At 50.8% G+C, this 25,601-nt stretch overlaps 1 protein-coding gene and 2 long non-coding RNA genes across 4 annotated transcripts, besides 10 other annotated features; 1 reads left to right on the top strand and 2 right to left on the bottom strand.

Moving 5' to 3' along the window:
- Positions 1-77: 77 nt before the first annotated feature.
- EXOC3 (exocyst complex component 3) lies at positions 78-24,192 on the bottom strand. 2 transcript variants are annotated; one of them, NM_007277.5, is made up of 13 exons: positions 24,078-24,192; positions 21,019-21,218; positions 19,616-19,835; positions 13,317-13,998; positions 10,362-10,479; positions 9,343-9,468; positions 7,909-8,009; positions 5,298-5,408; positions 5,061-5,211; positions 2,956-3,078; positions 2,096-2,257; positions 1,523-1,650; positions 78-641 (listed from the first exon to the last, which is right to left on the bottom strand). In NM_007277.5, exons 2-13 carry the CDS (start codon positions 21,160-21,162, stop codon positions 470-472), a joined length of 2,238 nt encoding a protein of 745 aa, NP_009208.2. In that variant the 5' UTR covers positions 21,163-21,218; positions 24,078-24,192; the 3' UTR covers positions 78-469. The 2 variants fall into 2 exon arrangements, with proteins under 2 accessions (NP_009208.2, XP_047272639.1); XM_047416683.1 differs by lacking the exons at positions 78-641; positions 1,523-1,650; positions 2,096-2,257; ... (1 more) ...; positions 5,061-5,211; positions 7,909-8,009 and having other exon boundaries at positions 5,305-5,408.
- Positions 7,642-8,841: an enhancer, noted in NCBI's record as "BRD4-independent group 4 enhancer chr5:458642-459841 (GRCh37/hg19 assembly coordinates)". NCBI's record gives its function as "activates an origin of replication core promoter dependent on BRD2, P300/CBP, MED14 and CDK7 cofactors, and independent of BRD4, by STARR-seq in HCT116 cells {active_cell/tissue: HCT116}" and the evidence as "EXISTENCE:reporter gene assay evidence [ECO:0000049][PMID:35650434]".
- Positions 8,034-8,143: an enhancer, noted in NCBI's record as "active region_22296". NCBI's record gives its function as "activates an Ori minimal core promoter by ATAC-STARR-seq in GM12878 lymphoblastoid cells {active_cell/tissue: GM12878}" and the evidence as "EXISTENCE:reporter gene assay evidence [ECO:0000049][PMID:35858748]".
- Positions 8,164-8,263: an enhancer, noted in NCBI's record as "active region_22295". NCBI's record gives its function as "activates an Ori minimal core promoter by ATAC-STARR-seq in GM12878 lymphoblastoid cells {active_cell/tissue: GM12878}" and the evidence as "EXISTENCE:reporter gene assay evidence [ECO:0000049][PMID:35858748]".
- Positions 8,899-9,068: an enhancer, noted in NCBI's record as "experimental_85954 CRE fragment used in MPRA reporter constructs". NCBI's record gives its function as "activates a minimal promoter by MPRAs in K562 erythroleukemia cells, with activity observed for both the introgressed and non-introgressed 5:458500 variant alleles {active_cell/tissue: K562}" and the evidence as "EXISTENCE:reporter gene assay evidence [ECO:0000049][PMID:34662402]".
- On the bottom strand, positions 19,976-20,547 carry LOC124900930 (uncharacterized). The gene is made up of 2 exons (XR_007058671.1): positions 20,160-20,547; positions 19,976-20,029 (listed from the first exon to the last, which is right to left on the bottom strand). It is a non-coding gene; the product is annotated as an uncharacterized LOC124900930 (long non-coding RNA).
- Positions 20,267-20,346: an enhancer, noted in NCBI's record as "active region_22294". NCBI's record gives its function as "activates an Ori minimal core promoter by ATAC-STARR-seq in GM12878 lymphoblastoid cells {active_cell/tissue: GM12878}" and the evidence as "EXISTENCE:reporter gene assay evidence [ECO:0000049][PMID:35858748]".
- Positions 23,528-23,617: an enhancer, noted in NCBI's record as "active region_22293". NCBI's record gives its function as "activates an Ori minimal core promoter by ATAC-STARR-seq in GM12878 lymphoblastoid cells {active_cell/tissue: GM12878}" and the evidence as "EXISTENCE:reporter gene assay evidence [ECO:0000049][PMID:35858748]".
- Positions 23,668-23,797: an enhancer, noted in NCBI's record as "active region_22292". NCBI's record gives its function as "activates an Ori minimal core promoter by ATAC-STARR-seq in GM12878 lymphoblastoid cells {active_cell/tissue: GM12878}" and the evidence as "EXISTENCE:reporter gene assay evidence [ECO:0000049][PMID:35858748]".
- Positions 24,098-24,487: a silencer, noted in NCBI's record as "silent region_15872". NCBI's record gives its function as "represses an Ori minimal core promoter by ATAC-STARR-seq in GM12878 lymphoblastoid cells {active_cell/tissue: GM12878}" and the evidence as "EXISTENCE:reporter gene assay evidence [ECO:0000049][PMID:35858748]".
- On the top strand, positions 24,208-25,533 carry EXOC3-AS1 (EXOC3 antisense RNA 1). Its single transcript, NR_126522.1, has one exon. It is a non-coding gene; the product is annotated as an EXOC3 antisense RNA 1 (long non-coding RNA).
- Positions 24,568-24,677: an enhancer, noted in NCBI's record as "active region_22291". NCBI's record gives its function as "activates an Ori minimal core promoter by ATAC-STARR-seq in GM12878 lymphoblastoid cells {active_cell/tissue: GM12878}" and the evidence as "EXISTENCE:reporter gene assay evidence [ECO:0000049][PMID:35858748]".
- Positions 24,698-24,747: an enhancer, noted in NCBI's record as "active region_22290". NCBI's record gives its function as "activates an Ori minimal core promoter by ATAC-STARR-seq in GM12878 lymphoblastoid cells {active_cell/tissue: GM12878}" and the evidence as "EXISTENCE:reporter gene assay evidence [ECO:0000049][PMID:35858748]".
- Positions 25,534-25,601: the final 68 nt, after the last annotated feature.

Raw genomic sequence — 25,601 nt, 5'->3', positions numbered from 1 at the left:
TTGACAACAGTTCCTGGGCAATCCTAGATCAGTAGTCAGAAAACCTTAACTGGAAAAGAGAATGCATGGCGTTTTCATTTCTCTGAGGAAGCCGAGAAACTTTAATTAGGTGACGGGGTTCCGAGCACTTAAGCAGATGGGGTGCGGTGAAGGCCCAGGGAGGAGGAGGGCAGGGAGGTGCACGTCCTCTGTGCCCCACACACTTTCAACCACTGCAACAAACAAGCACCCAAGAGAGGCTGTGCGGCAGAGCCCTGCACCCACAGGCCTTTGACAGCACAGTGAGGGGCCTCCGCACGTGGCCTCGGGACGCTCACTCGACGCACACCCGGTGCATCACACTGGCACCTAAAGACAGGCCGTGCAGCTAAAAGGAGCACGTGTGGCCAAGGAGAGCAATCAGCTGTCCCGCGTTTCTAAAGGCAGGGACCGAGGCTGTGGAGGGGCGAGCAGGGCAGGCCGGCGGAGGCTACTTGAGCAGCTTGGCCACGTTCAGGCTGGGCACCACAATGTCCTTGAAGAGGGGCACGTAGCTGGGGCTGGCCTGTGCTGGGCCCTGCTCCAGGGTCTCCATGATGGTCTGCTTCATGTCACGGCTGGCGTCCCCACGCACAGCCAGCAGCGCACCGATGTGGTCATCCCTGGGGATGGGGAGATGTCAGCCCATGCCCACTTAGCAGCCCTGTGATGCACCACGCTGCCAGGGACTCACGGCTTCACCACCCCAGCTGACAGAACACAGGGGGTGAGGACCGCTGCAGACAAATTGCACCTTTCCCTTTTCAGCGGGAGACAAGCCTGCATTTTCATCTTACTCTGTCTTTTCTCAATCCAATTGCAGAAAGATTTTTCAACACTGCTTTTATAAATCTTTGTTCCGGCCCAACCAGAGGGGAGACCGTGGAGAGCTCAAGACCCCGTTTTTCCACGTTTAACCAGCGAGATGATGGGACGGAGGTGACGCGGCTGCAGCCATGGAGGTGGCCCCTTGGGGAAGTGGCAGGTGCCCTGAGACAGGGGCCGCAAAGGCTGGCCTGGGGCCTGGAGCCAGCATGGTGGAGGGGGGACGTGCGTGGGTCCCCTTCCCTGGACCTGGTACTGGGGACTCCCTGTAATCACGTCCTCGGAAGGTGTCTGGTCCAAGCTGCACTTGGGCCCTCCCGAGTCCACCATGAGCACAGAGGAAACTTCCTAAACTCGCCCCACTGAGGCCACTCCACAGCCCAAATCTTCCCCACCACACACAGCAGAGCTGTCACAGCCCCGCCCCCACCCCACTGTCCCCACCCGGGATGTGCCCCTCGAGCTCCACCCACCCACACTGTAGCCCAGGCCAGGTGGAAGGCAGCACAGAAGCAGCTCTGCTCCCTGCGCCTGGGCCCCGCTGTGCCGCACCTGAACCCTTGCCGTGCTGCAGGGCTGAACTTGCGAACCAGGAGCCCCACCCGCCCCAGACAGAAGGAGGGACCTGCCGCTCCACTCCAGGATTCTAAGGCAGGATTCTAAGACGTGCATCCCTTACCTGATGTCTGGATACTTGCTGACCAGAGTGGAGACCTCCAGGTAGAGCAGAGAAGGGTCTGTCAGCTTGATCACTTCGGCCACAGCCACGATGGTGTCGCAGTATCCGTCCACGTCTTCCCCGAAACCCTGGAAGGCAGCAGCAATGTGAGGAGCCGCCCTCGGCTGTCCCGCGGCGCTGGGAGCAGCTGGATTCTGGCTGAGCCCCTTCCTGACTGGGAACCTCCCTCTTCACCTGACTCCTCAGGATCTACTCTGAAAGCTCAGTGACAGGGCCAGGGGTCTGGGGTGAGGGCGAGACCGTGGGAGGCAGCCAGCACCTCGCAGCGCAGGACAGACTGGGAAGCGTCCGTCAGGGAGCTGTGGGCGGCCTCGGGAAGCCGGCGGGGCCGGCGCGTCTACCTCTGTGGACATTCGTGTCCAACCACAAGGTCAGGCAGGACCTGGACCCAGGCTCCCCCCGCCTGACAAACACACGACACACTCCCATCTACTGGCCCGAGTCCCGGGGTGGAGGCTGAACAGGGCCGCGGAGCGACAGGCCTTCTCCAGCCCGGACCTGCGCGACACTCACGGACGCCAGCTTCCGGAACAGGAAGCGCAGCTGCTCTGCCTCCCTAACCATCTTCTCGGCACCCTCCTTGCGCTCCTCCGGGCTCCGGAAGGAAATGCGCTTCTGCATGACCGCCCGCAGGTACTCCACCACCACGCGCCGGTGCGCCTCGGCCGTCATCCTCTGGGGAGACACGCGCGGTCAGCGGCAGGCTCCACGGCTCTGGCGGCCAGGAGCACCCTCATTGAAACCCAGGCTGGGGCTCCCGGTGGCTCCCCGGAGGCTCTGAGCCCACTCCTCCTCGCTCCGCCACGGCTCTGGCATCTCACCGCAGAGGAGGAGCGGGGGCTCAGTGGGGGAACAGTGACGGTGACCTGGACCCCCGCACCAGGCCAGCTCCGGCCCCCAGCAGGACAGACGCGGGCGAGGCAGTGCCGCGCATGAGCACTCGGTCCACAGACAGGCCCGTGTCAGTGGCTGCTGCTGTCCTTTGATAACGACCGCAGCATCTGGAAAACGCGGCAGGCACTTTGGAGGAAAGAGGAACCTGGGTCCTGCAGGAAGGAGGGTCTGAAGCGGAAAGAAATCCCTGGGGCCTCAGGGAGTGAGTGGAAGGCAAGGAGCTAAGACGGGGCACGCGGGCCTCTCCGGGAACCATGGCTCCCTCCACCTCGAGGGCCATGCCACAGGGCCCCGGCCATTCTCACCAGAGCCCCGTCCCAGGGAGGTGGCGTCCGCAGAGCCTATTGCCTCCCTTGGGCTGATAGGACAACAAGTGAACGTTCACTCACGGAGGGACTCGCTGGATGCTGAATTCTGAGCAGGGTGAGAGGTGAGCCCTAGCGTCAAGGTGATGAGGGAACTAGGTCCCACCTTCTTACCTTCTTATACGGCTTTTTAATTTTGGCAAAATCGTTGAAATAGTCTTCCACGGTGACACAGATAATGTCTACAGCGTTTGACCCTAATAGCCACTTCTTCGTCATCAATTCATTCAGATGTTGCTGAAAAGCAGAAACAGATCATAGAAATCATCACCTCAACGTCCCACGAGAGCCGAGTGCATGTGGGAGGGAGGCACTTCCTCACCTCAACGCCCCACGAGAGCTGCGTGCAGTGTGGGAGGGAGGCACTTCCTCACCTCAACGCCCCACGAGAGCTGCGTGCAGCGTGGGAGGGAGGCACTTCCTCACCTCAACGTCCCACGAGCACTGAGTGCGTGTGGGAGGGAGGCACTTCCGTGCATCTTTGCTACGTCACACTGCTTTTCTAATTACAACAGCAATGCGCACTCAGGTAAAAATTTGATTATATAATCTGCAAATGTGTACTTTAAGTATAGGAGATTTATACTACAATTTCTGTGATGAGCTTCCCAAAATGACATGTTAAAGATGGAAATATCTGTGCATGTATACATTTTACCTTTAGTGGCTACATATATTTATCGTATTTATTTGCCCAATTCTCTATTGATGGACATTTAAATTTTTTTCACATTTTGCAATAATGCAACAGTGAATCTGTATAATTCTGATGAAATTCCTTAAAGTTGAATTTTTCAGTCAAAAAGTATACACATTAAAACCAATAAAAGTATACAAATTAAAACTCCAATAAAAGTATACAAATTAAAACTCCAATAGAAGTGTACAAATTAAAACTCCAGTAAAAGTTACAGATTAAAACTACAATGGCTGTATTTCCAAGCTGCCCTCAAAAACCCAACCCAGTTCAGGCCCACACAGAATACAAACAGCCCCTTTTTCCCACACCCTCAACAAGCCTGAACAGCATCCACGTCTCCGGCTCCTGCCATCCTGCTGAGCAGCAGGTCCTGTTGAGCATTCATTGCTTCGAGGATAAGATCGGGCGTCTAGTTTCACGATGAGGACACTGGTGTTGCTTTTAATGTGAGGTGGCCGTTCATGTCTTTTGCCCATTTTTCTATATATTCTTTTTAAATTTTGAAATAATTTCAAATGTAAATATTTTCTTCTTGCTAAGTCATATTTGCGAAAGTTACAAGTGTCTGCCTCTTTGGGGACACTTCCACACACATTTCTGTTCTCTTGCACAACCAGACACTGATGAATCAGCAACCAATCCCACCCCTCATCCCAGGAACCCCTTTCCAGCAGGACCACCAGATGGCCATGGTCTTATTATTTTGTTGTTGTTGTTGTTTTGAAATGGAGTTTGCTCTTGTTGCCCAGGCTGGAGTGCAATGGCGCGATCTCTGCTCACTGCAACCTCCACCTCCCGGGTTCAAGCAATTCTCCTGCCTCAGCCTCCCAAGCAGCTGGGATTACAGGTATGCGCCACCACACCCAGGTAATTTTGTATTTTGAGTAGAGATGGGGTTTCTCCATGTTGGTCAGGCTGGTCTCGAACTCCCAACCTCAGGTGATCCGCCTACCTTGGCCTCCCAAAGTGCTGGGATTAAAGGCGTAAGCCACCACACCCGGCCTACAAGGTCTTATTTTTTAAATATATCCTGATTTCTGCCAATACCTCTAAATAATGTTAAGCCATCTTTATGTTTCTGAAATAACCCCTACATTTCATGGTAGGTTATGCCTTTGATACAATATTAAATTCATTTTATTAATGATTTTTGCGTGTGTACCTATATTCAAAAGCGAAACTGATCTATGTGAGGATGTGTGTGTGTGTGCACTCTCAATTTGACTTTTTGACAGGTCCCTACATATCGGTTTCTATTTTGTAATCCACTAAATTGTCTGATGTCTTTAATACTTACAGGGTGAATCTACTGAATTGTGCGTAAGAAGGACCCTGCATCATACGAAGCAGCGTCACCGAAAACGGAGGCGCTTTAAGCGATCTGACCGGAATGCAAGTGCACAGCCCGGCTCCCCAGACGGCATCCGCACGGTACAGTTCACAGCCTGTGTCCCAGAGGGCAGTGAGGAAGCACTGGGCTTCGGCCCAGAAAACGGCAGGAGGAAAGAGCCAGGCCCACCTCCAGGTCCAGGAAGACCTCCTCCAGCAAACCGCTGCAGCCCTCCTTCGCGATGGCGTCTAAAATCCCGTCCATGCTGGGCTGGCTCGGAGACACACCCTCTTCCACTTCATTCTTTAAATACTTTCTTTTTAAACTGACTATGGATTCCCTGCAAGGAAAGGGTTCAGGTTCAACACAGCGGCTGGGCAGGCCGGCCTCCACCGCTCCCCCGCCACAGCGCCCGGCCACACTCACTTGAAGGTCTGGCAGTTGTTGATGATGGCGATCATGTACTGAACGTAGCAGTGAGGGTGCTGCCGATTCCTCAGGTGCTCTTCTTTATACAGCTGCGCTTCATCTTTATATCTGAGGACAGACAGGCTTCGGTCAGACAGCACTAAGGGCAACATGGAGCTGTTTCAAATGCCACGCTGACGTCACGCCTGGCCTGAAATTTCACATCACTAACATCTGACCGGATGAGCCTCTAAAAATAAAACAATCTTTAGACGATCCAGACTAATGGAAGGACAGAGAGGTTGATTACTTTAAATGGATCAAAAAATAACTTCACCTCAGGCTTTAAAATATGGCTCATTAGGAGGCTGAGGCAGGGAGACCACCTGAGCCCAGGAGTTAAAGGCTGCTGGCTGCGCTGCAGTGAGCTACCCGTCGGGGTAACCTAATCAGACCTTGTCTCTTTTTTTTTTTTTGAGATAGAGTCTTGCTCTGTCACCCAGGCTGGAGTGCAGTGGTGAGACCTTGGCTCACTGCAACCTCCACCTCCTGGGTTCAAGTGATTCTCCTGCCTCAGCCTCCTGAGCAGGTGGGACTACAGGTGTGCCCCACCATGCCCAGCTAATTTTTGTATTTTTAGTAGAGACAGGGTTTCACCACATTGGCCAGGCTGGTCTCGAACTCCTGACCTCATGATCCACCCGCCTCAGCCTCCCAAAGTGCTGGGATTACAGGCGTAAGCCACCGTGCCTGACCGACCTTGTTTCTTAAAAACAATTAAAAAATATAAAAATTTTGAGGAGTTGGTAAAAAATAATAACTGAAAAAAGGAAAAAAAATATGGTTCAGCATTCTGATTGTAAAAATATACTACATAGTTGATTGTGAGGAATTGGGAAAGCATTATCTTATTTTATTTATTTTATTTACTATACACTTCACCTAGAAACTCATAGTGTTAGGAACCTCATCAAATGTCAGGTAAAATGTCCCTTTCAGAAACTGTCCCTGAAATCATCCAATTAAAAACAGACACTTGAAATGTCAAGAAAACAAACAGAGGTAGTGACACGCTCTATTTTTAAACTTACTGTGGGGATGCTCAAGCACCTATGGGAGTGGAAGAATCATACAACAAATACCGTTTCTATTTTTAAGAGATGTTAAGAAAGGAGCACACTGAAAGCTGGCAATTAAAGGGAAAGAAGTTAGCATTTCTGTCCAAAGTGTGGTTCAGGTCATCAAAAAGCTGAGGGTGATCAAGGAACGGTCTCTTTATAGAAGAATCTAACCTCATAAATGACAATGACCTCCAAAGAAACAAACTCAGGCCAAGATCCCCATGGACAGATGGCCAATAGGGATTTGGCCATGCCTCTGTGGATAGAAGGCCAATGGGGACTTGGCTAAGACTTGGCCAGTGGGGACTTGGCTAAGACCTCTATGGATAGAGGGCCAATGGGAACTTGGCTAAGACTTGGCCAGTGGGGACTCGGCTAAGACCTCTATGGAAGAGGGCCAGTGGGGACTCAGCTGTGACCCCTGTGGATGGGCGGCCAGTGGGGACTTGGGCATTACCCCTATCGATGGATGGCAAATGGGAACTCTGAGTGGGCGGCGTGGCTGTAGTACCTAAGCCACCAGGACAGGACCTATGGACGCCATGTCTCCTGATGTGCCACATCGTGGAAGGCACACTCACCAATAAGTGGGATCCAAGCCTGCAGAGCCAGCATCTGGCTCGGGAGCTGACAGTAGACTGAGGAGGAGGCTGAGGGACATCTCTCTACAGAGATCTACAAGCCAGCAGCTGAAGGAGGGAAGGGGCTATTCGGCTTACCAGAGGCCTAGGAACCCTAAGCCCTCATGCGATGCAGTCCAATCTGATTCACAACTATCAAAAGACACACTTGAGATACAACCCAAACGCAGACTTGGCATCGGATGACCCCACGGAGTCACCGTGCATGTGTCTCTGACTTGATGGCACTGCAGTGGCTTCAGAGAGGGTCGCAAATACCATGCCACAGCGCCCGGGGTTTGCCTGAAGGTACTTCAGCAGAGAGAGTGGAATGGGCAGGGGAGAACAGATTAGGCAAGGGGGCTTTGGAGGGGATGGCTTCTGGACTGCACGATGGGTGAACACAGTTTTTTAAACTCTTTTCCACATCTGTATAGGTTTGAAAATTATCAACAACTCATGGGGAGGGTGGCGTGCCAGGTCATGGCTGCCTGGAGCCCTTCTGAGGAGGGCCGGCTCAGCCGAGGACGCCCTCCCCACTACGAAGTAGGCACTGCGGCAGGAGTCGCCACCCCCACCCCAAGGAAGTTCAGAACAGGCAACAGGAGGAGCCTGACTCCAACAGAGTTGGTGTCATCCGGCGCATCGCTAAGGACGTCACAACACATCAGCTCTGGGAGCCCAAGGGGGTGTGTGGTCCACTCAAGGGGAAGATGATCCAGAAGCTCCGCTCCCTCCCTTTGCTTTTGAAGAACACAGGAGTGACACGTGGGGAATCTACCGGCTTAATTTCTTCTTAGTAACAGGCATAGTAGGATCAAAAAATTTTTGCTTCTAATTTTTAAAAACATTCAATGTGTACATTAGCACACTGGCAGAAAGACATACCTGCTTAGGAAAGAATTCATCTGCTGAAGACATAAAACTAGTACCTTTGTTTTCAAATCTTCACTTATCTGAGCAGCAACTTGAAGATTCTGTTCAAACATCTAAAAATCAGAGAACTTATGAATTCTGGTATAATCTTACAGGAGTATACTAAGAGTGCAGGTTTGCTGTTATATGAAACCTCCATCTGCTAACTGGCATTTAGGATAGTCCAAATTCAGAGAAAAAAAAAATGAAACCACGTGAAAAATAACAAAGTTAGTTTAAAAAAAAAAAAAACAACTTTCTCACCTGGGAAAGTACCAAGTGACTCATTTCTTAATTCCTGGCAAACTGGTTTCTCCCACGGGGGCCATGTCTGTCCTCACACTACGTGACTGGAGTTTTAATGTGTGGAGTGAGGCCCCACCCGGGATGGCGCCCCTCAGGCACCTGACTCACCCTCCCTGGCCCCATGACTGTCATGATGCAGAGTTCCTAAGAATCTGGACCTGGGGTGTGCCAGGCCCTGCCAGGAGCTGACCCAGGCAGAGGAAGGGCAAGGGGACAGAGCTCTCCTCACAGTTTCTCACGGCATCTGTTTCCAAACAAAGGAAAGGGTTTGGACTAGCCTGTCAATAACTAACGGTATCATTCAGAGAGAAATGTCACCCGCCAGCCCTCACTCCTGCCTAACTAGAGTCCTGAGTGAGGATTCTAACACAACGGGGCTCCATCCCTCAGCAATGCCACTCAAATTAAAACACATGATGTGCCAAAAGAAAAAAAGAGCAGGAAAAACGGGACACAGGGCGGTCGGACACTGGAAAGTGAATCCGTGGTAAGAACACACCGGTTCTAACACCTAGTGAGGCTTGGGCGTTGGAAAGTGAATCCGTGGTAAAAATGCAGGTCGGTCTAATACTTAGAACCTTAACCAATGAACAGGAAAGCAACTTTAAAAGCTAATGGACGCCTTGACCCAGGAGGTAGAGATTGCAGTAAGCCAAGATTGTGCTACCGCACTCCAGCCTGGGCAACAGAGTGAGACTCCGTCTCAAAAAAAATAATGGACGCTCCCAAAATCCACCTGTTTAAACTCAATCATGTGCCATTTTTTAGGACAAATCCTGGATATCGACCAAACAAACTCACATTTGAAAGTCGCACATAAATAACATACAATTAGGCTGTAGTCCAAACCCATAAAGACCAGGTCAGAAAAGTAAAGTGACCTTGGGCAAAACTATTTGGTAAGTATCATCCCAGGTTTCTGCAGCTCCAGAGAGTAAGAGACAGAGAGAGGAGAGGACTTAGATGCACCAGGCAGGGCTCTCAATATTTTTACTACACTCTGTGGATGAAGATCCCAGGTATCTGTGTCACTTTGTAAAACCTACAGGTCCCACTATCCACCTAGGAAACGGAACTGTGCCAGTCCCCTGCAGGTGGTACCTGGAAGACAATGGCAGGGAGTGTGGTCTGGTAGTACCCGTCCTGGTCGGCTTCTGGCTCTGTCTCTTTGACCCAGTCTTTCTTGTCTGTCTCCAGCGCTTTCCGCAGCCAGGCGATGATGTTTGACTAAAGAAAGTTCAGCATCATGGAGAAGAGAAGAGAGAAGAGCAGGTGCCTGAGGGTCATGCCAATTACCTGGTCAGTTGCATGCACAAGCTCCACAAACCAGACACAGGGCACCAGCGTCCTCTTTCTCAAATGAGGACTCCAGAGCAGGGACCCAGGAGCCACCCCCATGGGAGGCAGTGACCACAGCAGCCCGCAGGGGTTTAACTGGAACCCTTGGTACAGATAAAGAGGGAGAAGAAACTAGATGCCCTTTTGGCTGCACCTCATGCTGGAGGACAAGGCCGCTGAATCCCAGGTGCACAGAGAATGAGGCCGACCAGGTCCGGTCAGGCCTGTTCCCATGCCCAGACTCAGCAACCACAGCAGCTCACGTCCCAAGAGAAGACAGCGCTCCTTCCCCAGCTCCTGAGGACACCTCGGCTTCTGGTCATAATGCTGCCTTGCTAGGTGGACGCACCCTTGTCTAAGAAGCAGACCCTGCTGACCTCCTCTTCTCACTCTGAGACCACCTGGTGGTCACCAGGCTGCAAATGGACTCGCCCTTTGGTCCTTGACGGACCCCCCCAACCATGGGACTCAGAGCCGAGAGCCTGGCAGGTGCTGCCACACACGGTTCAGACGTTCTGGGCCCTGGCCAGCCTGCCGAGTAGGGCACAGGCTCACGTCTCCAGCAGAGGACAAGCTTCAGATCCAGGCCCAGAGAAGGGGCCATTCTCCTCTTCTAGCAAACTGACCTGTCAAGGCCTGGAAGCAGAGCCCGGGCAACTGAGCAATGCATCCTAGGAAGTCAACGCTAAGGCATTTCCCCCCTGCCTCCTGCCTGCTGCCAAGCCCTAGTTACTCATATAACCAGCACGGTGGTCTGTGGCACGCAGGCCAGCCCTACTCACAGTGAGCGTGGACATGTACGTGTCAAGCAGCTCAGAGACCACGTGTGGAGAAAGCAATGGCTCCAGGGTGCCGACATCCACTTCCGGGGCCAGCTCCACGTTCCTCATCATCTCAGTACTATGGGGGAACCAGGAATGTGAGTGACAAACCACGACAGACACAGAAGAGCATGCCCAAGTGTGCCGAGACTGTTTCACTTGACACATGAATGTCCACCACCCTGGAGACTTCCTGGTCACAGCCGGCCCACAGCTCAGGGGAAAGTGCAGGGCAGGGGCCGAGGGCTTTGGGGTCTCTGTGGCATCACCCCACTGGCTCCCAGACTGCGTGAGTCCCTCCAACCGGGGAAAGTGCAGGGCAGGGGCCGAGGGCTTTGGGGTCTCTGTGGCATCACCCACTGGCTCCGAGACCACTTGAGTCCCTCCAACCCCAGCTTCACCCTGCTGCGCCAGCTTCATGAGGTGCTGGGGCTCAAATGTGGAAGAGCCTTTCCTGTGGGGAAGACGTGTGTTCTATTCACTGCACCTGCAGAGCCGAGGCAGGGCCTGGCAAACAGGAGGCGCTGAATAAACAAACGTACTCAGTCAAAACGACAAGCACAGCCGCCCCCACAGCCACGGGCGCCACGTCCACTGACTCAACCAAACACAAACTGAAAGTATTTGGGAAAAACAACAATAAAAAATAATAAAAATTTCAAAAAATATAGAACAACTATTTCCATAGCATTCACATTGTATTTAGTCTTATAAGTAATCTAGAAATGATTTAGAGCATGAAGGAGAATGTACGCAGGTTACGTGCAAACACTATACCCTTTTATAAAGGGGACTTGGGCTACGGAGGATTTTGATAGCCAAGGGGGGTCCTGGAATCCCTCCCCATTGAGTATGGAGGGGCAGCTGTGCTGTCCTTTGGAAACAAGCCACTGCAGTCCACATCAATATGCTCTGCAGACGGTGATGACTGGAACGTACAATACAGGACATTACTGATAAAAACGCATCCGCAAGAACAGGCAAAACTACGTGAGGTCTACTGTCCAGAAGACAGGAAACACATGCTACATTTCAGGAAAAGTTTTCATTAGAAAGTTATTATCAGCCGGGCATGGTGGCTCACGCCTGTAATCCCAGCACTTTGGGAAGCCGAGACGGGCGGATCATGAGGTCAGGAGATTGAGACCATCCTGGCTAACACAGTGAAACCCCATCTCTATTAAAAATACAAAAAAATTAGCGGGGCATGGTGGCACGCGCCTGTAGTCCCAGGTACTCGGGAGGCTGAGGCAGGAGAATGGCGTGAAGCCGGGATACACCTACTATGTACCCACAAAAATTAAAATTAAAAAGTTTTTTTAAGTCTAAGGTTTGACCACTCAGAAAATTCTTTCAACTCACACGCCTCATGCTATGTTCCGTAAATACGTTCTCAGAGTAACACTGAATAAAATGATTAAGAGCCAGTCCACTATAAGAAATCCGAGAGCTTCCTAAGTGAAAAAGTACTTCCTAAAATTCTGCACATTTTAAAAGACTTTTATTTAATCTGGATTATTTTTCCCAAGAACCTCAATTCCGTGTGAGAATGTTTCTAGTGGAGCACTTCAACCTCCCCTGAGAAAGGCCGGGGTGATGGAACTCACGAGACTCCCCAAGGACAGAAAAACACTCACAACGTGGAAAGACAAAATCAAGACACAAACTGTGCAAGGTGCACACATGCACAGCCCAGCCTAGTGGCCATGGCCCGGGAGGGCCCAGGGATGGGACTGGAATCCAGCTTCCCACTCACTGGCCGTGTCCCCTGCCTCCTGCCTCATGGGCTGCTGACACACACCAGGCACGGAGGGGGAGACCTGCACTGTCAAGGCTACAGAATGGGCGGCCATGAGGATGAGCGGCAGCCAGGGGAGGTGAGTCCAGGGCTGTGCACAGAGAGCCACAGTTGCACAGAGCGCCACGGTTGCACAGAGAGCCACCATTGCACAGAGCGTCACGGTGACCATTCTCTGCAGGGGGCGCTTCCTTTCTCTTCTGTCCTTCTGTATTGAAATGCAAATTCTCTATAAGCAGATACCAGTAAACAAAGCACACAAAAAAATATGCCTTACTGCTAAAAAAAAAAAAAAAAAAAATGAGGTTTATTCAATTTCTCCACTGCAGTGACAAGATGGGCGGAAGAAAAAAAAGAAGAAGAAGAAATTCCAATACATTACTTAATATTATTTTCTAACCATGAAACCATGGAAAATTGAAATAAATTTTCATTTCGGCTACCTAATCTTAAAGAATTTCAGAATACCCCCACCACTGCACCATTTTTCAACACTACTTCAAATTAATCCACGCACAGAGTGGTTCATGGTCCCTTAAGTGAAGTGACAAAACCTCGTACTAGGATACAAAAAGGATGATGGAGTTTCCTCGAACTATCTAGACTTGTAACTGTTTATTTTTGAAAGACTCACTGCTATAGGATATTGGTGAAGAGAAACCAAACCCGGGATGCTGGAAGCCAGGGAGGTGATGTAGTGGTCTCCTCCCCAGTGGGGTGGCCATGTGCCAGTCCCAGCCCCGCCTGGGACCATGTGTCCTCACCTGTAAAATGGGGTAACAACACACCTGCCTCAGGGTGTCACTGCAAGGAAGCAAGTCAGCACACGGTGAGCACAGGAAACAGGCCCAGCCCAGAGCTGCACCCTGTCAAGCTCAACGGGGGCTGGAGGCCAAGAGCAGAGATCCCTCCCAAGCACAACAGTGTTCAAACACCAGAGGCTGGGCACCAGCAGGCAGAGCAGAAAGAAGACACCCCTGGGCTGGAAACCAAGGCTGTGGGCTCGGAGCACCTGCCCAGAGCAACACCCTGAGGTCGGCTCTCCAGCAAGCAGCTGCAGGCCCCTCTCACACACGGCTTCTACCTAAGAGCCAACACAGGCGCCAGGTTAGCTTTACCTTGTGTAGGTGTTTAAGACCCACGTCAAGAGGCTCACGATCTCATTGGCTTCCAGGTCTTCCGATGCGAGGTCCTGCATCCGCGTGCTCAGGGCTTGGTGGTACATGTTCAGGAGGTTCTTAAAGATCTCATAGTGGGGAGGAAAGCACTGAACCATCAGGTTTTTGGCGACAATGAGGTCATCCAGGACGTACTTCCTTATAATTTCCAGGTGGCGGACAAGCCACATCTTGTCAGACTCTCTGGTATCTGCCTGTGTGCCCTCAATTCTGGTGGTCACAGTCCTCTCCAAGATGGTGAACATTTTCTCCTTCCAATTCTTGGGCCTCCCAGGAGGAACAAAGCCAGTTTGCTTTTTCCGGTCAAGTATGCGCCTGTCAATTTTCTCTTCCCTTTCAATGATCCTGACAACTGAGACCAGCAAGGTGGGGTCACGGCGGACAGTGACCAGTGACCTCTGCAGCACCATCCACAGCTGCTTAGCCAGCTCATCAGAGAGCCCCTGCGTGCTGCCAAAGTAGCCATGGATGAGGGTCATGTCACGCGTGTTCCCACTGTCCATGCGGTACTGCTCGTACATCAGCCCGTCCCGGGAGCACTCCAGGTCCATCAGCTTCCGGTGGGCTTGCAGGAGTGCCCCTTGTTCAATTAGGTCCTGGGTCTCCCTCACAATCTCAGGCACTAGGGAGAAGGCACAAGACACAACATAAACAACCACCACCACATAAAAGGCTGCCTGCATGCGGTGTTCTGGGAACACGGCAGAGCAGGAAGCCACATCTCCCTAGCTAACAACAACTGCAATGGCAGGATGTGTCTGAGGTAACTATCTTTGGAACTCTGGAGTCTATTAAAGGCATAAATGGTAAACTGTGGTTAACTGTGGTCATTTGCAGCTCTCAGCTGGGCAGTGGCTACCGAGGCCCCACCTCCCACCCCGCAGGCAGCTGTGCATGTGCTGATGTGTTCCTAAAGCTGCCTGCACACAGCCTGCAGCCTGGCTGGGCAAAAAGAACCCTGTCCTCCACACCGGAGATCTGTACTCAGATCACTGACTGCTGCTTCTGACCACAGAGGTGCGAAGAGGTAAGTGGCCACTGTTGCATCTTCCCCTGTTCACAGGTCCCTCCTCACCCCCACAGAGCTCCAGGGAATTTAAAGGGCCAATGTCTTCACCACCCCCTTCATCTGTTCCCCTTCTTGAAAGCCAGATATTTATGAATGAAGACATTCAAAAGTAACTGCATTTATAGGAAAAATTCGGAAGTGGCCAATGCATGCCCAGGCAAAGGCATAGGCTCAGAAAAGACTTGACACGACCTTGAAGTTCACACCTCAGGCTGTGCCTTGGCACAGAGAGCCTACAACAACCAAAAACAAGAATCATCAACCTGGGAAGGGGATCTGATTTCCAGAGTTATCACATTATTCGATTCAAGTGTCCATTTTTCAACAACAAAAACATCACAAGGCACCCAAAGAAAGAAGAAAGTATGGCCCATTCAAAGGAAAACATAAGAAACTGTTCCTGTAAAAGATCTGATGGCAGATCTACTAGAGAAAGACTTTAAAACAACGATTTAAAGATGCCTAAGGAACTTAAAGATGTGAAGAAAGACATGTATGAGCAAAATGGAAATACCAATAATGAGACAGAAAATCCAAAAGGAAACCAAACAGAAAATATGAAGCTGAAAAGTACAATAAATGAAATGAAAAATTCACTAAAGGGATTCAAAGGCAGATCTGCACAGGCGCAAGAAAGAATCAGTGAATGTGAAGACAGGACAATGGGAAATATCAAGTATCCGGAACAGAAAGAAAAAAGATTGAAGAAAAGTGAACAGAGCCTCAGGGACCTTGTGGACATCATCAAGCAGGCCAACATATGCTTAGTGGGACTTTTAGAAGGAGAAGAGAGAAATGGGCAAGACATTATTTGAAGAAATAATAGGTGAAAACTCCCCACATTTGATGAAAGACATGAATATGAAGATCCAAGAAGCTCAATGACCTCCAAGCAAGAGGAACTCAGAGGTCCACACTAAGATACAACTTAATCAAACTTTTGAAAGAATTCTGAAAGCAGCAACTTGTCAGAAACAAGGGCTCCAAAATAAGATTATGAGCAGATCAGATTTCTCACCAGAAACTTTGGAGGCCAGAGGCAGTGGGATGACATATTCAAAGTGCTAAAAGAAAAATACTGTCAACCAAGAACCTTAAATCTAGCAAAATGGTCATTCAAAAGTGAGAGCGATATTAAGACATCCCCAGATAAACAAAAGCTGAAAAGCTTGTTACCACAAGATCTGCCCTGCAAGAAATGCTTAAATAGAGTCCCACTGGTTGAGAAGAAAGAATGCTAGAGAGCAACTGGAAGCCACGTGAAGAAGCAAAGGCCTCAAAAAAGGTAAATTCATGGACAATCGTAAAATCTAGTATCATTAACACTTCAGTTTTTAACTCATCACTCTGTTTCGTACATGACTTAAGAGACTAATATTTGTTCTGGTTAAAAGGGACAAATAAAAAAGAAACTAATACATTAAAAAATAGTCTAAAAGCTACTAATACTGTAACTTTGGATTCTAACTCCACATTGTTTTCTACCTAATTTTTAAAAATGAATGCATTAAAAAACAATTATTAGTCTATGATTTTGGACACATGATATATAAAGATGTAATTTTGTGAAATGAACAACCCAAAGGGAGTGGAGATGAAGCCATATAGGGACGGTTTTTGTGTGTTATTGAAGTTAAGTTGATATAAATTCAAACTGAAGCGAGATAATGTTAGATGTTAAGTGTAATCTTTATGGTAGGCACAAAGAAAACAGCTATAGAATATACGCAAAAGAAACAAGGGAATTAAAATGTTTACTACCAAAATAATCAAAAGCACAAAAAAAATGCAGAAATAAGAGACAAAAATGTTATACCGCATATAGAAAACAAACAGCAAAATGACAGAAGTCCCTTCTTATCAGTAATCACTTAAATGTAAGCTCTTCCATCAAAAGAGGTAGGCAAAATTAATTAAAATCTTCAATCAAAAGAGGTAGACAAAATAGATTTAAAAAATAAAACATGATTCAACTCTATGTGTTCACCAGAGACTGACCTTAGAGCCCAAGACACAAATAGGTTGAAAGTAAAAGGGTGGAAAAAGATATTCCATATAAATAATAACCAAAAGAGAACAGGAGTGGTTATACTAATAAATATGAAATATACTTTAAATTAAAAAAAAAAAAACTAGTCACAAAGAAGGCCATATGTATTAATAGAAGGTTCAGCAAGAAGATGTAACAATTATAAATATTTCTGCATTTACTAACAGACCGTCAAAATACATGAAGCAAAAATGGATAGAACTGAAGGGAAAAACATTCAGTTCTGTAATAGTCGGAGGCTTCAATATCTCTCTCTCAATAATGGACAGAACAAGCAGACAGAAGCTAAACAAGGAAAGAGAGGACTTGAACAATGCAACCAACCAACCAGACTGAACAGACACAGAAAGAACACCCAACAACAGAACACACACTATTCTCACGTGCACATGGGACAGTCTTCAGGAAAGACCATGGATTAGGCCTCAAATTAAGACTCAGGTTTTTAAAAGATAAATATCATACAAAGTATCTTCTCCAAACTCAACAGATGACATTAGAAATCAGTATCAGAAGGAAAACTGTAAAATTCACCAATTTGTGGAAATTAAACAACATACTCTTAAACAATTAATGGGGCAAAAAAGGAAACATAAGGGACTTTTGTTTTGTTTTGTTTTGTTTTTCAGATGAAGTCTCGCTCTTGTCCCCCTGGCTGGAGTGCAGTGGTGCGATCTCGGCTCACTGTGACCTCTGCCTCCTGGGTTCAAGTGATTCTCCTGCCTCAGCCTCCTGAGTAGCTGGGATTACAGGCGCCTGCCACCACGCCCGGCTAATTTTTATATTTTTAGTAGAGACGGGGTTTCACCATGTTGGCCGGGCTGGTCTCAAACTCCTGACCTCAGGTGATCCGCCTGCCTCAGCCTTCCAAAGTGCTGGGATGACGGGCGTGAGCCACCGCACCCAGCCATAAGGGATATTTTTAAAAACCTAAGAGAAGAATGAAAATGCAGACGAATCAGAAACCTCACACACTCATGGTGGAAAATGCTGCAGCCACCGGAGGAAACAGTCTGGCAGCTGCTCAAAGATTTAAACATAAATTACCACATGGTCCAGCAATTACACTTGTGTGTATATACCAGAAAGAAATAAAAGTAAAACATCTGTACACCCATGTTCACTACAGCATTATTCACAATAGCTAAAACGTGGAAGCAATTCAAATGTCCACCAACAGACAAACGGATAAGCAAAATGTGGTCCATCCATACAATGGAATATTATTCAGCCTTAAAAGTGAAGGAAATTCTACAATACCACAGCATAGAAGACCCCTGAGGACATCATGCTGAGTGAAATAAGCATGTCACAGAAAGACAGATAATGTGTGATGCCACTTCTATGAGGTCTTCAGAGTCATCCAATTCACAGAGACAGAAGGCAGAATGGTGGTGACCAGGAGCTGGGGCAGAGGGTGCGAAGTCAGTGTTTAATGGGTACAGATTTTCATGTCTGCAAGATGAAAAGAGTTCTGAAGACGGATGTGGCAATGGTTGCACAACAATATGAATGTTCTTAATAGTCCCCAACTGTACACTTAAAAATGGTTAAGACGGCAAACTGTACATATGCATTTTAGAAGAAGAAAAAATGGGGGAGGGGAGCTGTGTACACAGCATTGCTGAGTTATAGGCAATGAGACAAGTCTGAAGGCAACCAAACCAATCTTCTCAATGAAAATTTATCCGTAACAAAAAACATGCATACCACGCAGGCTCATTTGTTCACCAAGGAAAGGAAATTATTTTCAACTGCTGTGGATAAACTAATTCCAGTAATGCACCTTTTTGGTCATCAGGCATTAGTTTAAAAGACCGGAAGGAAATGTAGCCAGCCAATACGAAATAAGAGGAAATTAACTAGAAAGCTGCCAGCTGAGCATCACCAAGGAGACTCCGTCGAGAGGACTTTATTCCTGTTCCAGGCGGCCCACAGTCACCAAGAAGAGCTGCTTTCTGAGTTGGCAGCACAGTGGCGTTCGTGTTGGGCATGCACAAAGAGACACGGACTGCAGCCACACATGTGACCCTACGGATCATGCCCTGGAAGAAGGGCACACACAAAGCAACGGGACAAGGTGCTCGGCAATGCTGCAGCCGCAAGCACGAGAGGAGGGCAGAGAGGACAGGGTGGACGGGACACGGATTACCAAGGTGCGCTGTGGGCAGCTGGGGAGAACCGCGCCAATTCACACGTGGCCTCAGGAGCCGAGCAGCGTCACAGATGATGCAGCACAGCCACTGTGAAGGGTGAGCTGGGGCACGTGACGGCTGGGGATGGGGAAGTGTCATACAGACATCAGGGCAGAGACGTCTGGTAGAGGAACAGGAAGAACTTGCCAAGAGGCCAGAGACAGGAACAAAGAAAGGGAAGGAATCAGACCCTGCCAAGGCTTCTGAGTTGGGGACTGGAAGGATGCTGCTGACCTTGACACAGAGCGGGGACCAAGGGGAGGGATGAGGCTGTGGAAGCAGCTCCTGTCACAGCAAGCAGGAGGAGACTGTGAACACAAATGCTGGGAGCCACCACCCAGGGCCAGCTGGCACCGTTCAGGGACAGGTTACAGGGCCCTTGGCATCCTTCTAACTGAGGCATTCAGGGAGAAGACTGAAAGGGTCACTCCCCCACGGCGCTCAGCCCCGCCTCTGCCCTGGCCTGTGCACACACGCTTCTCCTCCTGCCTGGGAGCTGCTGCTCGCCTCAACCCTTCTGCTCTGGGATCTGCTTGCTCTGTCCCATGCACAGGGTGGCTTCTCCTGCAGCTCCTTTTAAGCATGGGCCACGGCGTCTTCATTCTTCTGCACTCACAGAGTCTAACAGCCACATCGCAAGCAAGGGAACGACACTCAGCCAGGGAATCCCTCCACACTGCATTTGCTGGGCAGCCCGCTTCTGGGCCTCTGTCCTGACACTGAACTACAAGCCTTCTCCTAGCCTTTACATGCTCAGCTGATCACTTCCATCCACGTTCAAAAAAAGACGCTGAGCAGACAAGAATCACACTTACCGTCTACAGGTCTACAGTGCGGGCTGCAAAGCACACTGCACACAGAGCACTCAGTGAGTCATGCAAAGACAGCGTGAGTGGGGGCAAGTGCCTCGGCGTCTGGCTGGTACCTGAGAAGATGTTCTTGAGGTTCTCCACGGCTGCGGCGAGCTGGCTGTGCTGCACCACGGCGTCTTTGACGTCCTTGAGGCTCTCAATGGTGTTGATGCTCTGCCTCCAGTCCTTGCTGACGTCTGCCAGCGACTGCTGGATGTCTTTGACGTCATTCAGGGCGTTGTGGAGCTGGCTGAGGCCTGTGCGCACCCCGTCCAACTGTGACTGGATGGCGGCCTAAAGAGAGACGCCACACGGGTGAGCAGAGCCAATGATAGCCATGCGCTGCCTCCTGAAGAACAAATCTTCCCCAGGAGGGTCAAGTTCAGGAAAGAGCCACTGAGTAGCAGGAAACAGTCAATACCCAGAAAAGAAAATAAAATCAACAAGGATTTAATTGATTCACAGTGTACCTTTTTCTTCATTGCTGCCTGGGAACAGAACAATGATGCATTTTAAAGCCTTGATGAGAAAAGGTCAGGACACTCCTCATCTAGCCTCACACCTGGTGATCCTGGACACTACCACGGGTCTGCCCTGGGCCGTGGCCTGCTACGGTACCTTCAGAAGGATGTCACCCATGCTCTCCCAGGCATCCTAGGTTCCTAAAAGGTCTTGTCTAGGCAGAGAGAACGGTCAGGACTTCACTGGCTTGGGGTGGGGGAGTTCCTGCTGTTCAGCCAGCACCACACTTGGCCCCAGGACGGCTGACCCACAGGACAGAATCGGCACCTGAGCTTCAGATCCGCTCTCTGTCAAATGTGAGTTAAAACAATCTGAACAAAATGCCCTCTAGTGGTGCTCTGTAGAAGAGCTTTAAATAAGACTACTTCTCCTTCCTCCAGTATTGTTTAAAAACTTAATAGACACTTTCAGGGTGTTGTTTTTGTTTCTGTGTTTTTTTTTTCTTTTTGAGACAGAGTCTCACTCTGTTGCCCAGGCTGGAATGCAATGGCACCATCTCGGCTCACCGCAACCTCTGCCTCCTGGGTTCAAGCGATTCTCTTGCCTCAGCCTCCCAAGTAGCTGGGATTACAGGCGTCAACCATCATGCCTGGCTAATTTTTGTATTTTCATAGAGACAGGGTTTCACCATGTTGACCAGGCTGGTCTTGAACTCCTGACCTCAGGTGATCCGCCTGCCTCGGCCTCCCCGAGGTGCTGGGATTACAGGCATGAGTCACCGCACCCGGCCTCAGGGTGTTTAAAAGCTTGTTCCTTTGGTGTTTTCACCATTCCCACTGTCTTCTAAGCAAAGCTACTGAGTGGTAATACACTGCTGAAAGTAACTGCTCAAGAAAGTCCAGCTCTGCCTCCTTGCACATTACCATAAAGGCTAGTTTAGCAAAATCATCATGGTGATGTCAAGCAAGAACCTGAAGCCCAAGACAGATCCTGGGAGTGGGGCAGGTGGCCTCACCTTCAATCTGGCCTCCACGGAGGCCTTCTTCCGCGCTTCTCTCCTGCGATACTGCTCCACCTTGTCCAGCTGGTCCGGGCGCTGGAGCATCCCAGCAACCCTTTGCACTGCTGTCGCAACGGCCTCCCGGTCTGTCTCCTTCATGGTGAAAAAGCTGGTGGAATCCTCACACTGTTCATGCTAGGGGTGTTCTCTGTGCACTGCAGGAGTTGTTAGGACGGTAGAAATGTTAGGTACAAAACCTCCCCCAAACTATCAGGTGATCACAGTGGAGCTACAAGCAGAGCCTCTGAGATCATTAATCCAGGAAACCTCAAAGAAAGCTGAACTAGGATGAGGAACTCCTTGATAAGATAAACAAACCTTCGTAACACAAACATGCAGAAGTTATACCTTTAAGGGGAGAGCAGGGGCGTTTCACAGGCATGAGAGACATGGACATTGCGAAGATTCTAGATGTGGGTCCCAGACCACCCAGCATGTAGATGTCAGCCTCAAAGGCACATCTCTCCCCAAGACAGGGCTGGTTTCTCATTTCGGGAGCTTTCCCCCAGCACCTTGGCCAGGCCTGTGGGCAGCTGCACCAGGACCCTCAGTGAAGACAAATACAGCGTGGACAACTCCCCCGACCAGGTACCACAGCTGGAGGCCCAGCACAAGCCCCACAATTCCCACCCTATAAAAGTGACAATAGTCAGCCAGGCCCGGTGGCTCACGCCTGTAATCCCAGCACTTTGGCAGGCCGAGGCGGGTGGATCACGAGGTCAGGAGATCGAGACCATCCTGGCTAACATGGTGAAACCCTGTATCTACTAAAAATACACACAAAAAAATTAGCTGGGCATGTTGGTGGGTGCCTGTAGTCCCAGCTACTCGGGAGGCTGAGGCAGGAGACTGGCGTGAACCCCGGAGGCGGAGCTTGCAGTCAGCCGAGATCGCGCCACTGCACTCCAGCCTGGGCGACAGAGCGAGACTCCGTCTCAAAAAAAAAAAAAAGAAAAAAAAAGAAAAAGTCATTATTGTCTTGGGTATCCAAAACCCCATTTCCCCCTTTTTTAACTGTCCTAGAAAACATCATGCTTCCCTCCTTTATGCAGGCCCCGTGCAGACCACAGGTGCTCAGATGCCAGGCAAGCCTGCCTTCCATGCTCCCTCCACCATCGTCCTCCTCGGGGAGCTAACACAGCTGCTTGGTGAGCATCAGTCAATGAGGGAATCCGATACACCTGTTCCCCTTGACTTCAGCTGTCTGATTTTCATCTTCATGAATATTAAAAAGATTCACCTTCTCCTGGAATTTTTCATTCTCCATGCCCACATGCTTTCAGACACCTCTCTTCTCCTTTTTCATCTGGACCTACATTGCAACCTTTCCTTTCTCTTTATTTTCTGATTATGAAATTTGGCATACCAACGTAGAAAATCTGGACAGGACAAAAATACAAAGATGCCAGAGGCAACTCCCCTTAAATCCCATCATCTATGGGCAACTCCTCTTAAATCTTGCTACCCAGGGGCAACTTCCCTTAAATCTCACAATCCAGGGACAACTTCCCGTAAATCCCACCACTCAGGGGTAACCCCCGCTATATCCCACCACTCAGGGGCAACTCCCCTTAAATCCCGCCACCCAGGGACAACTCCCCTTAAATCCCGACACTCAGGGGCAACTCCCTCCAACAGGGCTTGTTTCCTTCCAGTTTTTTCCCTTTGAGTTTCTTTTAAAGCTAAGATTCCACTGCTTATATGACTTTGTAGGTGCACACTTTTGTTTTCTTATTTTGTTTGGACATTATCATCAGCATTTCCATTGACATTAAAGCCTGTATGATTTTGATTATAGGGCTGGATAATAACCCAAGAAGTGGACCCCCAGCCGCTCTGCTGGGGCACGCGGTGAGGTGGCTGCGCCCATCTTAAGGCTGGAGTGAAGTCTGTCACGCTGTGGGTGGAAGCCAAGGCAATGTGAGTGGAGAGCTGTGAAGCAGGGCTCGCCTTGGAGTCAGAATAAAGCTACTCATGTGGAAAAGGGGAAAATCTGGAGTTAAAAAACGCACCGCAGAGGCTTCCATCCCAGCCTGAAGACTAAAGATTTTGGGTCACAGAAGCCAAAGAGGAACTCAGAGACCATAAACAGAGACCCAGGTCCAGCCCCTACCAGGGCCTTTCTGACTGCCTTCCCCTGGCGCTGGCTCCGCTGTGAGCCTCTCCGCCGAGCGGGGGGACACCCTACTGCGGGGAACATCAGCACCCACGGAGACACCTGCGCCAGGGAGACACCTCTGCCGGGCAGACACCTCTGCCAGGAGGGACCCTTTACCGGGGGGACGCCTGCGCCGAGGGGAACACCTGTGCTGGGAGGCACCTCACGGAGGGGACACTCCGCTGGAGGACACCTGCACCTTGGAGGACACCTGCACCTTGAAAGCTTCCTAAAGGCCAGGAAGGACGCTTGTGCCCAGAAGGACACCTGCTCCGACGAGGGACACCTGGTCCGAGGGGGGACACCTGTGCCAGGAAGGACAACTGCGCCTGGGGGGGGACACCGTCAAGAGGACACCTGCACCAGGAAGTACACTTGTGCCTGGGAGGGACACCTGTGCTTGAGGGGACACTTGCACCTTGGAGAACTCCTGCGCCGAGGGGACACCTGCGCCAGGAAGGACACTTGTGCCTGGAGGGACATCTGCCCCAAGGAGGGACACCTGCTCCGAGGGGGGACACCTGTGCCAGGAAGGACACCAGCGCCTGGGGCGTGGGGGAAGACACTGTTAAGGGGACACCTGCACCAGGAAGGACCTTGTGCCTGTGGGGACACATGTGCCAAGGGGACACCTACGCCTGGGGGGGACACATGTGCCGGGGAGGACACCTGCGCCGAGGACACTCGCACGAGCGGGATACTCCACGGGGTCCGGAACGGCCTCCCCGCCCTCCAGGTCCCGGTCCGGCCTCCCCCTACGCGCCCCCGCGGAAGCCAGAGACAGGGAGAGCAAGGATGAAAGACGGCGACCACCTCCCAAGGACCCGCCGGCCGTCAGGACCTGCCACCGACTCACCCTCTACGGCTACGCCGCCGCCGCCGCCGCCGCCGCCGCCGCCGCCGCCGCCGCCGCCGCCCCCGCCGCCCCCTCCGCCTTCGCTGCCTCCGCCTCCGGGGTCCCGGCCGGAAGTGGACAGCGCGCGGGCACTTCCGCTTCCGGCAACGGCGCCGGAAGCACGGGTCCGGGCCCTCCCGCGGGGCGGGTACTCGTCTCCCGGCCGAGCGACTTCAGCTCGGGGACCTGCCCCATGGCCGCTCCCCAGCAGGACAGGGAAACCGCCGAGGTGGGGGGCTTCTTGTCCGTCCCAGCCCCCCCAACTCAGGCCCTCTCGCTGCCCCTGGCGACCACCGCGTGCGCCCTTCCCCAGGGCGGGCGCAGTCCTGGACGCCTCCGCCGAGCGTGACTGCGTGCATTTTCTCTCCTTTCCCTTCCCAACCTGCGGAGAGAAGACAGCCCCAGAGCCGCTGTCTCCATCCTCTGCTGATGCCTGCTGTCTTTATGTTGGCCTCGTCGTCCGCACTGCAGTGTGGCAGGGGCGTCCCTCGTTTCCCGCGGACTGAGGTGGGCGCCGGGCATTCAGTAAACGAAGAAACCAAAGCGGAGAAGGTTGGGAATCAAACGTCTGTCATACCTGCCACCAGCAGACAAGCGGCTTTGGGTACCTCCTGGACCCAAAGACGAACTCAGCCCCTCCAGGAGCGCAGTCATTGGCACCCTCGTGGGAACAATGCCAGTGGGATGGGTGGCCACCGGATGTTTCCGGGGCCCCTCAGAGGCCCAGCAGCGCAGGTCTTGGAGAATGAATGTGGGTCACTGGGCCGCGCTGCAGAGGGCCGGTCCTGAGTCGCTTCCTGGAGGAGAGGCCCATGGCCAGCACTTGGCTTCGCCTGGAGGAAGAAGCACGTGCTAAACCACGAGCGTTCAGGGTTTGTCTGTTTGATAAAAGATGCTGGCTTTGACACACCAACTGACAAAGTCTTTCATAGGTTGGAGCTGCTAGGTTGTGCCCCTGCCCCTCCTGAAAATTAGCCACACGAAAGGAAGGGTCTGGAAGGTGGCAGGGAAGCCAGCAGAGACCAGGGAAGTGGCAGCAGCATGGGGCAGGGGCACACAGGAAGGAGATGGAGCTTGCGGGAGCCCCCACTGCCACTCCGACAGGGAGCCCTGCCCCGTGCCCTGCTGATGTTGACACTGACCCCGGCTCTATTATTTCAGTTTTTCCTTGTAATTTCTGAAAATCTAGCAACAAGTTGAGCAATGAAAAAAAGTAAAAAAGTTAAAATTGTGTTAGAAATTATGACTGTAAAGAAATTTTGAAACTAATGAAGAAAAAATTGCCAAAATTGCCAAAGCTTTTAGGACTCTTAAAAATATAGTAACATTGAGTATTATGAACTAAAGACTCATACTATTATATCAGTGTCTGGTAGTGAATTTGGATGGAGGACTGTCTAGTAACTTCTTAACAAAACATTGATTAGAAGTCTTTCTTGGCGGGGCGCCGTGGCTCACGCCTGTAATCCCAGCACTTTGGGAGGC

This window comes from Homo sapiens, chromosome 5, assembly GCF_000001405.40.
Source record: "Homo sapiens chromosome 5, GRCh38.p14 Primary Assembly".
Classification (NCBI taxonomy): domain Eukaryota; kingdom Metazoa; phylum Chordata; class Mammalia; order Primates; family Hominidae; genus Homo; species Homo sapiens.
This window is presented reverse-complemented; position numbering and strand designations above follow the sequence as displayed.

Bases quoted from the DNA above. Each gene is read 5' to 3' on its own strand.
- EXOC3 (NM_007277.5), bottom strand. From the start codon at position 21,162: ATGAAGGAGACAGACCGGGAGGCCGTTGCGACAGCAGTGCAAAGGGTT. The intron at 19,836-21,018 runs GTGAGGCCACCT...GTCTCTCTTTAG, and splicing joins CCGTGGAGGCCAGATTGAAG to GCCGCCATCCAGTCACAGTT. The intron at 10,480-13,316 runs GTAAAGCTAACC...GTTCCCCCATAG, and splicing joins GTCTTAAACACCTACACAAG to TACTGAGATGATGAGGAACG.